The 13,836-nt window shown below is 37.6% G+C and overlaps 1 protein-coding gene across 10 annotated transcripts in view; it reads right to left on the minus strand.

The window, feature by feature from the left end:
• The window catches only part of USP6NL (USP6 N-terminal like), a 151,141-nt gene that overhangs the window by 121,143 nt on the left and 16,162 nt on the right, over positions 1 to 13,836 (minus strand). Inside the window, exon 3 of one of the 10 annotated variants that reach the window (XM_017016971.2) lies at positions 12,979 to 13,069. The exons of the other annotated variants lie outside the window; for them this stretch is intronic. Coding sequence (XP_016872460.1) covers positions 12,979 to 13,036 — 58 coding nt within the window. The 5' untranslated portion in view covers positions 13,037 to 13,069. The remainder of the gene's footprint in view (positions 1 to 12,978; positions 13,070 to 13,836) is intronic. 10 annotated transcript variants of the gene reach the window in all.

The raw sequence follows: 13,836 nt of genomic DNA on the forward strand, positions 1-13,836 counted from the left end.
AGACTGTAGGATATTAAACTATAAACCATTTCTAACTCTTCTCTCTTTTTTGGGTTAAGAAATCAGTTAATAGACTTCATTTCCTTCATTTCTTTGTCATTCTACTTAAGCTTGGTTTTTGTTTGTTTGCTTGTTTTTGAGACGGAGTCTCATTCTGTCGCCCAGGCTGGAGTGTGGTGGCTCGATCTCAGCTCATGCAACCTTTGCTTCCCAGGTTCACATGATTCTCCCTGCCTCAGCCTCCCCAGTAGCTGGAATTACAGGTGCCCACCACCACGCCGGGCTAATTTTTGGTGGCGGTGGTGGTGGTGGTGGTTGTTGTTGTTTTTGAGACGGAGTTTCGCTCTTGTCTCCCAGGCTGGAGTGCTGTGGCGTGATCTCGGCTCACTGCAACCTCCACCTCCCGGCTTCAAGCGATTCTCCTGCCACAGCCTCCCGAGTAGCTGGAATTACAGGTGCCTGCCACCGCACCTGGCTAACTTTTTGTATTTTTAGTAGAGACGGGGTTTCGCCATGTTGGGCAGGCTGGTGTCAAACTCCTGACCTCAGGCGATCTGCCCAACTGGGCCTCCCAAAGTGCTGGGATTACAGGCGTAAGCAACCACGCCCAGCCAATTTTTTTATTTTTAGTAGAGACAGGGTTTTGCCATGTTGGCCAGGTTAGTCTCGAACTCTGGACCTCAGGTGATCCGCCCGCCTCAGTCTCCCAAATTACTGGAATTACAGGCGTGAGCCACGGTGCCCAGCCTCTACTTAAGTTTTAAAGGAGGAAAAATATAGTCACTTCATTCTAGAATGTAGAAAATCAACCTCTACAAACTTCTACAATATAAATTACAGCACATTACTACAAAAAATAAAAATTCATTGACAACTTGAAATTGTCAGATGTGGAAAGAGCCACAGAATATGTGTTTATGGATGACAACATTATCCTTCTCTCATATAATTTCAAAGCAGATTATATGATAGTAATTGTTTATGAACAGAAGTATTTGTATTAACAGAATTAAGTTAGCAATTCTTTGAAAATCAGTCTTTGAAAATATTTTATCAAATGATAATTCATTTTGCTTATAAAGAGCAGGCAAGAAGCTTCTCAACTCTGTAGCTCAGTGGACACTATCATAAACACATACAAAGCTTCACAAACACGGGAAATAAAAATATATTATTCCAATTTATCTTCACAACAATGAGAAATTCTTAATCTACTGACTGTACAGAGTGTATTCTAAAGGCAATAAAATCCTGTTCATTCATATAAGATTTCTTATGTATCTAGTATGTAAGAGGTACCATGCGAATTGCTGTTTTACAGGGGTAATCAACCTCCTTCCATTCTACAAAGATAAACCAGCATTAAATAAATAATTACAAAATTAATGATTAAATTACAATTGAGATGATTCTTGCAAATAAAGGATGACAGGAGAGTTGTGTCCTTACATGGAAAAAGAGTGTGAATTAAAAGCTGTACATAATATACTATAACTGAACATACTCTAATTTACATATTATTATGTTTTCAATTTTTTTTTTTTTTTTTTCCCTGAGACGGAGTCTCGCTCTGTCGCCCAGGCTGGAGTGCAGTGGCACCATCTCTGCTCACTGCAAGCTCCGCCTCCCGGGTTCACGCCATTCTCCGCCTCAGTCTCCCGAGTAGCTGGGACTACAAGAGCCCGCCACTGTGGCCGGCTAAATTTTTTTTTGTATTTTTAGTAGGGACGGGGTTTCACCGTGTTAGCCAGGATGGTCTCAATCTCCTGACCTCAGGATCCACCCACCTCAGCCTCCCAAAGTGCTGGGATTACAGGCGTGAGCCACCGCGCCCGGCTACTACATTTTCAATTTTTTAAGGAAGTCTCTCCCATTGTGTAGAACTGACTTCTCTTTTAACTTTGCAAAGCCACATGCAAATGGACACACAAATATGGAAGAAAAGAGATTTAGTCATAATAAGGAAATTTAAATATGACTTCATTTTCAAAATCAAAAATTCAAGAAAACAGAGCATTCAACCAACCTGGACCTACTCTAGATTCCAACAAAGCTATCAAATAACATTATTAGTTTTTAAAAAATTCGTTATTGGCCAGGCACAGTGACTCATGCCTGTAATCCCAGTACTTTGGGAGGCTGAGGCGGACAGATCACCTGAGGTCAGGAGCTCAAGACCAGCCTGGCCAACGTGGCAAAACCCTGAAAACTACTAAAAATACAAAAATCAGCCAAGTGTGGTGGAGGGTGCCTGTGGTCCCGGCTACTTCAGAGGCTGAGGCAGGAGAATCGCTTGAACCCAGGAGTCAGAGGTTGCAGTGAGGCGAGATCACGTCACTGCACTCCAGCCTGGGCGACACAGCGAGACTCTGTCTCAAAAAAAGAAAAGGAAAAAAAGGCATTTAACACAAAATTAGCTGGGTGTGGTGGCGTGTGCCTGTAGTCCCAGCTATTCAGGAGGCTGAGGTGGGAGAATCATCACTTGAGCCCAGGAAGAATTTCAGTGAGCCAAGACTACACTACTGCACTCCAGCCTGGGTGACAGAGCAAGACCCTGTTCCCAAACCAAAGCATTTAGCTCTGTGTGTATAGCCTTGGAATAAATGTTAATTCAACGTAACATCACATTTAAGATAAAAGGTTCATAAGTGCACATACACATAAAACACATAAAGACAAACATATTGCCAAAGAATTCACAAAAGCACTTGGGTATATAAACACAGACGTCCCTCTAACATTCAGAGAGATTTTTGTAGAGATTCCCCCAGTATGAAATCTGTAATCACCATAACACATTAATTACAACAGTGATGGAAGACTGCCAACAGTGTCCCTGAAAGAATAGTACCTTAGGCCAAACTCATCTTTGGTACTTACTATTCTCCACTCTTCCCCCCTTTCTGAAACCTTTTACTACTTCTGCCTTTTCGGTATACTATGCATTATCTCTCCTCTGACCATCACAAAATGGTACATGTCTCAAAATAAAACTATATGAGGCTGGGCACAGTAGCTCACAAACTGTAATCCCAGCATTCTGGGAGGCCGAGGCAGGCAGATCACTCGAGCCCAGGAGTTCAAAACCAGCCTGGTCAACATGGCAAAACCCCATCTCTACAGAAAAATACAAAAATTGGCCAGGCGTGGTGGAGCACACCTGTAGTCCCAGCTACATGAGAGGCTGAGGTGGGAGAATCACTTGAGCCAGGGAGGCAGAGACTGTAGTGAGCCGAGATCATGCCACTGCACTCCAGCCTAGTTGACAGAGCAAGACCCCTGTCTCAAAAAAACAAAGAAACAAACAAAAAACCATATGAAACTCCAATAAATATATAAAAGCTACACTGCTTCATAATAAATTTTTGGAAGGTGCAAAAGGAGCATTCAAAGTTAAAATCTGTGATTTTTCCATAATCATTTTGGGAGAAAAGACTGTTTTAGAATGATATGATGCAAGAGAAAATGTAAACAGTGAGTCCATGAAAAAGTTATCTTGTCTAACAAGGAAATAGCACCTCACTAGGATGGCTACTACCAACGAAACAGAAAATAATAAGGGCTAGGAGGATATGGAGAAAATGGAATCCTTGAGCAATGTAAGCCGGTGCAACCACTATGGAAAACAGTATGGCAGTTCCTTGCAAAATTAAAAAAAAGAATTACAGTATGATCCAGCAATTCCACTTCTTGGTACAGACCCAGAAGAATTGAAAGCAGGGTTCCAAAGATGTATTTGTACACCCATGGTTCACAGCAGCATAATTCGCAACAGCCAAAAGGTGGAAGCACGAGGTCAGGAGATTGAGACCATCCTGGCTAACACAGTGAAACCCCGTGTCTACTAAAAATACAAAAAATTAGCTGGGCGTGGTGGCGGGCACCTGTACTCCCAGCTACTCGGGAGGCTGAGGAACGGGAATGGCGCGAACCCGGGATGCGGAGCTTTCAGTGAGCCGTGATCAAGGACACTGCACTCCAGCCTGGGAAACAGAGTGAGACTCCATCTCAAAAATAAATAAATTAAATTAAATTGAATAAAAATTTAAAAAGGTGGAAGCAACCCAAGTGTCCACTGACAGAAGAATGGATAAACAAAATATGGTCTATATATACAAGGGAATATTATTCAGCCTTAAAAAGGAAGGTGATTCTGACCCATGCTACAATATGGATGGACCTTAAATACATTGTGCTGAGTTAAACCAGTTACAAAAATACAAATACTGAATGATTCCACTTACATGAGGTACCTAGAGGTCAGAGGCCGGGAAGAGGAAGAAACAGAGCATTAGTGTTTAATGGGTACAGAGCCTCCAGTTTTTCAAAATGAAAAGAGGTGAAGAGATTAAGGTTGCACAACAATATTAATGTACTTAACACTACTGAACTACACACTTAAAAAATGGCTAAGATGGTAAATGGTCTGTGTACTTTACCATAATTTTTTAAGTTATCCTGTCTAGAAATCAAATAATACAACAGATAGCAACTATATGATGTCATTTTGAGCCTACTAGGCTAGTGATGGTGAAACTGATATCCTTGTACACAATTACCAGAGCAAATGTAAATGGGTGCAATCTTTTCCAGAAAGGCAAAATAATTAGGCATAAAAAGCTCAACATTATAAATCTAGTCTATGGAATTCCAGTTTAATGAAAAAACTGAGCCATCTTAAATGACCAAAAAAACTGAGCCATCTTAAATGACCAAAAAAAAACTGAGCCATCTTAAATGACCAAAAAAAAAAAAAAAGGAAATGGTTAAGTAAGTTATGATGAGTCATTACCTTTAAGGAACACAATTGTGAATTCTAACCATGAAAACAATTACTGAAATCTGTTTTAAATACAATTAATGTTAGAAATCCAAACATAAAATTGCATATACACTATTAATGTGATTATATAAAAATATATAGTATCTAAACAATTCTAGAAGATCATAGGCAGAAATGTAAATGGCTTCTTTAACATAGTGAGGTTACCAGTAATATTTTTCCCCCATTTTCAAAATATATTTATTTTAATGTTGTGGTTAACAACAAGAAAAGGGGGTTGTGGAAAATGAAGAAAATCGATTAGTTTAAATGAAATTAGATAAAAGTATAAATAGAGGCAAGAGGGGAGTACTTGCCTAAACTAAACTTAAAATCTTCTCTAACCCACCTATTCTCCCAATACCAAGCTTTCCCTAATTTCTTAATGTCAGTCTCGATCTCTCAATGCTGGGTCTTCACATACGTTGTTCCTTCTGTTTAGAACACTCTCCTCTTCCTCTTCACTAGGTCTCAGCTGGAAGGTTTCCTTAAAGTGGTCCTCCCAACCTCCCTGTGAGGACAGATTCCCTTGCTCCTGCAGGAGCAAGGACTCCCTGGATGTCCCTTTTGGTACTAAGACCGTACTACTGGCTCAATGTCTGGCTTTCCCACCAGTTCCATGATCTACAAGGCCAAGGGTCATGTCTGTCTTGTTCTTGGCTGTATCATCTAAGACCACCACAGAAACAGTACATATGTAGGGGCTCATTAAGTATCTGTTTATACTAAAATTAAAACAATTATTATTTATTCAAAATTACAATTCTCTCCCTTAAAACTTGTTTTAAAATCGAAGATTCAAACACCATGACCCCTAAAATATTTTAAGAAATTAATTTATAGTATCATGTGTCTCAAAGTTGTCTAACTTTGAATTTGAATTTCCTATCCTTTGCAATATTCCAAGTTAATCTTCTAGCTTTCACTATCCCTTGCAATTATTAAACTTTTAACAGTCATACTATAAGATGATAAGTATCCTGACATTTCATATTAAAATCTAATATGACCCATAAATCTCTACAGCCTAATCAGAATCAGAGTCTTAAAATGTCCATTTATTCTATTTTTGGCTAAAGAAAATGTATCAGGACAAAGAGGCACCAGGTTATGAGAACAGCTAATCTTTAGTGAAGCAATCTCAATTTATGTACAAATAGCTATAGCTGTTTTATTATTATAAAATAATTCGATTCAATACTGCTATACTTTATACCTTCATAGCATTTGTTCAGTAGCATCTTGAGATTTTTATCAAGATAATTCAGAACAGGAATTCTACTAAAAGGGATCTCTCGATAAAAGCCAAAAGCCGTCTCATTTCAACGCCATCTCATATTCTAGAAAATATTTCATTGTCAATTTTTTCTCAAGACTTTGTAATAAAAGTAAAATAGAAACTAGTAAAGCAGAACAATAAATCCTGTACTTATGCAAGAGATTTGAATCCTATTTCAATTCAAGTAGAAATGGGGAATTTTCTACTAAACAGCTAAACGTGAAGGAAATCTAGAGATCACCAGGCAGTCTTCCTTTCTCTTGAAGGCAGGCTTCCTGACAGAATGTCCCCTAACCAGTCACACCTGTTAGGTCAGATCCCATTACAGGAACCCTCCATCATCCATCATCTGAGGAATAGTCTATAAAACAGCTGGTCTGTTGTCTTCAAAAACATCAATATCACAAAAGGTAAAGAAAATCTGAGGAACTATTCCAGATTGGAGGAGAGTAAAGAGACTGGATGACAAAAGGCAATGTGTGAATAACACTCAGCTGAATCCTGTACTGGAGGAGCAAAATGCTGTAAAGCACATCATTGGGGAAACTATCAACACTGGAATAAGGATCATATATTAGATAAGTCTAATCTATCTATGTGATTATTTTACCGTGGTTATGCAAAAGAATGGCGTTGTTTTTCGGAACCATACACTGAGGTACATATGGGAAAAGGAGCATGATACATGCAACCTACTCTCAAATTGTTCAAAAATAAATCAGTGATATTTTAAAAATAGATTTTCAGAAATAATATTTTAAAATAAATAATTGATCCCACTGAAAAAATAAAGTTGGACTGGTTGGCAAGGAGTAGATGTAAGAATTTCATCTGCTGAGAAGAGACACACACTAATGAAAGAAAAAAAATAATGAAGGAAAACTTTGTAGATCTAGACATTGTTATATTCCATCAGAATGCAGCCAGCACTGAGCTAGAAAAGCTTATCTTTTCAGTTAGAATAAAATTTCTAGTGTCTAACAACTTTTATATCACATTGTCAGGGAAAAGAGTAATAACTCCATTTTTATAATACAAATCAAACATTTTTAAGTAGCTTTTATTTTTAAGCACAGAGATACTGCTAAGGAATCATGTGAGAACCAAATTCCTTTTAACAGTCAGTTTGGATATCCAGATAGTAGAAGTAGAGTTTTTCTCCTGTTCTGTGCAAAGTCCCCCATATATAGATGTATACAATATACCAAAAGTACAAAGTTTCCATACAAGGTCTCACTAACACTGATTATTTTAAAAACCACAATGGCCCTATTGCCCCCATGTATGGAAACCCGGATAAGATAATGGCAATGGAGAAGCGCCTTTCCTTATCCAGAAGAGAGACTCTAACAGCAGTAAAGGTTTCCCCTTAGCAGTAAGGCAACCTGCTTTATATAGCTTCTAGGTCACATCTGTCAGCAGAAACGTTTTTTATAATAAAGCATGCCAACAAAATACATCCTACTAGTCACATTATAGTGGTCTGAATTAACCACTTAGCATGTAAATTTCTGTTATATTAGTTAAAACAACAAATTTAAGCAGGTTTGAAAATTAAATTCAATATCTGCTGTACCATAATTGTCAAAAGTAAACAGTTTGCAATGCTCTTCCAACACTGGTAATAGCTGGTTCCTCCTCCCCTAATCCAGAACACTTCACACATGACCTACATCTACATATCATAGAAAGACAATAATATAAAATTGTTACCAAAGGAAAATACAAAGACCAACTATTATAATTTACATAAAAACTTAATACATATATACATGTTAGCTTTTACAAATTTCTCTCAAGTTATAATCAAGCAAATATATTCTCCCTTACCTTGCAAGTACTAGAACATAACTAGGTTCACCAGTGAAGAGATCAAACACAGTGCTTTACTGTAGTGTTCAAACCTTTACTAAGGCATCCTATAAATTCCATTTCTATTCCACTCTTCTAACATCTAAAACAGGCAACTGTATTTTTAAAAAGACATTGTGACGCCAAATGCCCCACAATATAAATGTTAATGAATATCTATTAGTGTCTGACTATAATCTTTTTATATTTTATTGTTTAAAGCTTAACACCTGAATGCTACCAATGTGTGAGAACAAAATCAAACCGGTGCCGCTCCAGGGTACCAAGGCAATGCCAGGGGAAGTCAGTTTCTAAATTCAGAGGGAAAAGACAGCACTCTACTACCAACTGCCTGCACAACGGCCATTATCTCTGAACATGAATAAGAATAACCCATAGGAGAAGTTTTCATTTTCACCTGACCTCCTAACTTCTGGGCCACATTCATGATACAAACATACAGTGCATTTCAGTTTTAAAAAAGAATTAATTTATGGCTCAGTGCTTAAAAGTAGGAGTGGGAGACTGGGATAAGGGAAGACATTTTCACTCTATGTCCGACCTTTCTAACCCGTAGCTTTAAAGAGAAGCTGAAAAGAATTACTTTCACAGTCACCCTGCCTATCTCCAAAAAAAAGTCACACCAAAATACTATTTTAGATCAATTCTGAGGAAGAAAGACAGAGGCTTGAAAATTTCTAATATCAATTTCACACTACAGGAAATGAGATTTCTGTACAATGGCACCCATCACATACACTGATAGCCACAAATTCCCTTAGTAGAAGACATCTATTTGTGTTCAATGCAAAAAAATGAAAATATATAGCTGTCCAGATACTATTGTAAAAACTGGATGTTACTTATGTGGAATTTTATTCAGACCATGTAACAAATCTCAGTTACTAAGCGGTGCTTTCCACTACATCTTTTCACAAATAAAAAATACTAAAAATCATACACATAATATTTTCATATAGAAATCCAGTTTTGGAGAAGTTAATGTAAAAGAGATACAGATTTTTTTCCAACCAGTACATCAACTCTAATAACACAGATTCAAGAAGAAAACTGTAAAAATCAAACTCTATTTTCTAAAACTAATGAAAGAGATAACAAGACGAATATTTAAGAGGATTAATTTGAAACATAATTCCCCTCTGAACTCTGGCTGCCAGGAGAACAAGCAGAAGGACGCGGAGAACACGCACCTGCATTTGGAATCATGGTACTTTGGAAAATCAGACTCTGAGCAACACAGTAGGCCCCCAAACCCTGAAAACTGTGTTTCCTGTAATGTAGCATATTTCATAACTAATACAGGAATTCCTTGTTTTACCCAATAGATGTACTCCTATAAGACAAAATTAGAAATGAAAATTTTCTCACTGACTTAACAGTAAATTTTAAGAGTTAGAAGGCGTCCAGATGATCTATCTAGTGCCTACATTTACGAATGAGTAAAGGATGTGTGGGGAGGGGGTTAAAGAAGTCAAGCCACTTGCCATACATAACGTGGCTACCAGCAGCAAAGCCAGGGTTCCACCTCAAGTCTCTGGGACTCTGGGAACATAAAGAGGCCAGCCACTGGAAAACTTACTGCTTTCAGAATGGAATTCGAAATAGTTCTCTTAAGAATGGAGAGTCTCTTGAAACTATTATAAAGAAGTCATTTGGAGCACACTGGTTTGTGTTGTACTAAAAAAATTTCATTAAAGTTGATTTACATATAAAATTTATCTATATTATGCAATACGTTGTAGATCTAAAAGAAAACGTTTAATAACAGGTCTATAAAAACTAGATAAATATAGCTTTTGAAGAATAAAAATATAATAGTAGGTATATAATTTGAAATTTTAAGATTTAACTAGTAAAAATAATTCAGAAGCTTTACTAAGCTTATACTACTATAGTAATTTACATTTATGCAAAAAATTAAATCACCAAATAAAAGGAAAACAGACTTTCACAGAAAATGTTTTGTTTAAACATTTCAATTTCTTTTCTAGATAGAGGTGTGTGTGAGAGAGGGAAAGGGAGAGGGAGAATCAAATGGACAAAATGTAAATATTTGATAAATCTCACCAAAAGGTATATGGAAATTTGGGGTACTATTTTTACAACTTTTCTTGTTGTAAGTTTGAAAAAATATCAAAAGAAAATATATAAGAAAAGAATGTAAACCACCTCCCAAAAAATTTTTAACTTAAATATATAAGACTATATTAAATTCATATTTAATTTCCCATAGTATCAAACCAAGAATTACTCTTTTTATTTTTGAGACAGTCTCACTCTGTCGCCTGGGCTGGAGTGCAGTGGCTCAATCTCAGCTCACTGCAACCTCCACCTCCTGGGTTCAAGCAATTCTCCTGCCTCAGCCTCCTGAGTAGCTGAAATTACCGGCACCCACCACCATGCCCAGCTAATTTTTTAGTATTTTTAGTAGAGACGGGGTTTCACCATGTTGGCCAGGCTGGTCTTGAACTCCTGACCTCAGGTGATCTGGCCACCTCAGCCTCCCAAAGTATTGGCATTACAGCCGTGAGCCACCACACTCGGCCTCAGAATTACTCACTTTTCTACAGCAAGTGGTCAAAAGAAGATAAATTAGCTAAAAGCACAGTATATTCCACTTTAAATAGTGTTAATAACAACGAAGTACACTAAACTAAGAAAGTAATCACACAAATTTTCTGAGAAGCAATTTCTGCTGGCATTCTTCACCACTGACTACAGCTAAAGGCTGCCACAGGTCTGACAGTGGCCCCTGCCCACTAGATGCCATCAGGTCCCCCAGTAACTGTCAGCCACAAAGTCTCCATACATTTCCAAATTCCTCTCCTCCATTAAGAATCACTGATTATATATTCATTTTAAGAATAACATTTAGAACTTTATATTCCCAAATCTAAATTTATCAAACATAAATGAGTCTTAATATAACAAAAGGATACCTGTTATACTTTGTAAGGGGATTTAAGATTCCATTAAATAACAGACATGCTGGCATTTCAAAGACAATTCAACTTAAATTTTCTTTTAACTTCTACCCAACTTCTGAAGCATGCAGCTATTCCACAAAACAGTTTATCTATCTAGATAGGCTACTGTCCTAGAGAGTTTTAGCCAGTACTTATGGGAAGTCTTCTGTTACTTGGAGCACAACTTTTTTACTTAGTAAGACTCTGAAGAATCCTTCTACTACCACTGAGAGATTTAGTAATCTATTCATTTATTTATAACATTATCTGCTCTAACAAATATTAAAACAAATTGTTCTTCACTTCAGCATGAACACTTAGTCCCCTGCTCCAGTGAATGAAGGTCTTTACTCCTATACTATTAGAAAACCACAAATACACTACACCCCAAATTACTCACTGCCATTATTCTTCCTCAGGTGAATGAGAAACATTTCATATCGAAAAATGACCTCAAAAAACTCATTTCATTATTTAGAACAAAGGGCAGAATCAAACACTCCAGTGTCATAGATTCACTCCTGGATTACCCAGCCAGAAGAGAAAAACTCTTAGGAAATCTATCACGTAATTAGTTGCAGAGCAAAACTTTCCTGAAGAAACTGAAATAAAATACAGAACATTAAAATTTTAAAACAGAGCAAATAAGCTAGTAAGTGTTTTTTTGTTTTTTAGTTTTTGTTTTTACTTAAAGCTTTGGAAAAAGAAATTAAGTAATACTGTAATTACTTTTGTGTTTTGGTGTTTTCACTTAGTTTTTTTTAAAATATATTCTACCAAAATAATCACTATTTTGTGCCTTGTGTACAAACTTCTCTTGTGACCATTTATATTATGGATCTGAGAGCTCCTTTTAAATCATAGCCACAGTTTGAGTATAACAACTTAATTTAATCCTTGGTTCCATCTGAGAAAAACAAAATGGGCAAGTGTGATAAATGTTAATATGCAAATACAGAAAAACAACAATTTATGTACTAAAAATCAAAAGGCTTTTTGTGGATTGTAATAAAGTACAATCCACAATGAAATGCACATCATACTAACAGCATCATACAGTACGTTTTCCACAAAATAGATACTCAGCCTCAGAACGTGATAGCCTATATATCCACCAGAATAAAAGCGGAAAAACATTATAAAGCTTCTAGATGGGGCATTCCAACTACTGTGCCAAGAGGGTGCCATGGCAGTGAGCCACGCCTAGCTGCCTGGGCTGAGACGTTAGAGCCAGGTGCCTCTAAGCTCTAAACAGCTTCTTCAGTTTATCCCACGTGATGTACAGCTATGACCATGTTCTAGCGTTTGATAACATGGAAAGGGCTGGGAAACACTGCAAAGATAAATCTAACCAGATATACAAATATCCAATCTTTCTTTTAATCTCCAGAAAAATATTGGGGGGGAAAAAAGCTAAGCCATCATTCCCACCCAAATCTAAGTTTGGAAATTCTATCTAAACTTCAGTGACATATATTGCTATTTTTTAGCCTGTACCACATATCCATAATTTTTTTTTCTCAAAAACAAGAACTCTGACACACTTGATCACGACCATTTGGAAGACTTACAACCCCCTAGAAACTGCAGCACAAGACAGATCGCTCTAATACTCCCTAACCTTTGGTACAGTAGTCTACTAAGGAACAATTTCTTTCGCTAGAGAAAATCATCAAATGGACAAGAAAAAGAAATGTAACTCAGTCTGATTCAGAGGGAGCTTGGAAAGAACTGAAAACTGAAAACAAGGCAAGAAAGGGTGAATACTGCCTGTGTAACCAATCTTTTTAACCGACATCTAACAAAATATCTGTTTGTCAGGGTAATTTTTTCTAGAATGAAATCTCATTAAGTTGCTTCTCTAACTGAAATCCTTTAATAGCTCCTTAAGCCCTATAGGATCAAGTCCAAACTTCCTAGAATGTAAATGACCTGGACCCCAATTTCGTCTCCTCCACCTTTACAATCCCCCTTCCTATCTCTAGAGTCCAGAATGTTCAATTCACTAGCAACACCTATGTGGAGTCAGAACATCACACCTTTCTCACATTGCTCCGCCAGCCTGGAATGCTTTGTCTCGGGCCACACTCTACACATACACTCTTCTCACGGCAACAGCTCCCATTTCACCTAAAAATAATAATAATAAAACACAGAATAGCTCCTGCATACTAAGGACATTACTTACAAACACCCAAGGTAGTGCAATATTTATTTAACACCTATTTAGTGCCAGGAACAGTGTTTGGCTCTAGGAATGAAATCATCTTTTCTCCTCAAGGAGCACACAGATTAGAGAAACATACAAGCAAATAAGCAGATGATTTGAATACAGCTTGATGGGTCCCAGAAGGAGGCAGGCAGAGTGCTATGGAGAAGCAGCGCACAGGGCTCACCTCCCAACTGGAGTGCTGTGTGGGTGACAGGCAGTGGCTCTAGGAACTAGCAGACTACTCAGAAGCTGATTTTTTTAAAAGAATCTGAAGTGGGAAGTAAGGCGTTAAGTCCCCGATGGCATTGTTCTTTCTCTGTAGCTTCCCCTTCTTCACACAAACACACAGAAATAACAGGTGAAAGAGAAGCACAAGTCACTAAAATGGCACAGCTATGCCCCAAACATCTCTGTAGATCAGACATCTAACAGGAACATAAAGGGTGAGGCACACTGAAGGCACAAGGTCAGCTGGACTCTGGGCCCAGGGCAGGACAGAGCAGCAGGAAGTTTTGTCCTATGGGGAAAACTGTAAATAAAAGTTTTCCCTAGGAATCAGGGTCAAGAGCCAGGCTCTGTGCCTAAAGCCAGAGACTGGGGTGGCACTTTTCCTTAATTATGAAACTAGATTGAAAATGCTTCTACTAACTGTGCTGAGGCTACAGCTTATAAGAGGTTGCTGACC

The sequence above is a fragment of the Homo sapiens genome, chromosome 10 (assembly GCF_000001405.40).
Source record: "Homo sapiens chromosome 10, GRCh38.p14 Primary Assembly".
Taxonomy (NCBI): domain Eukaryota; kingdom Metazoa; phylum Chordata; class Mammalia; order Primates; family Hominidae; genus Homo; species Homo sapiens.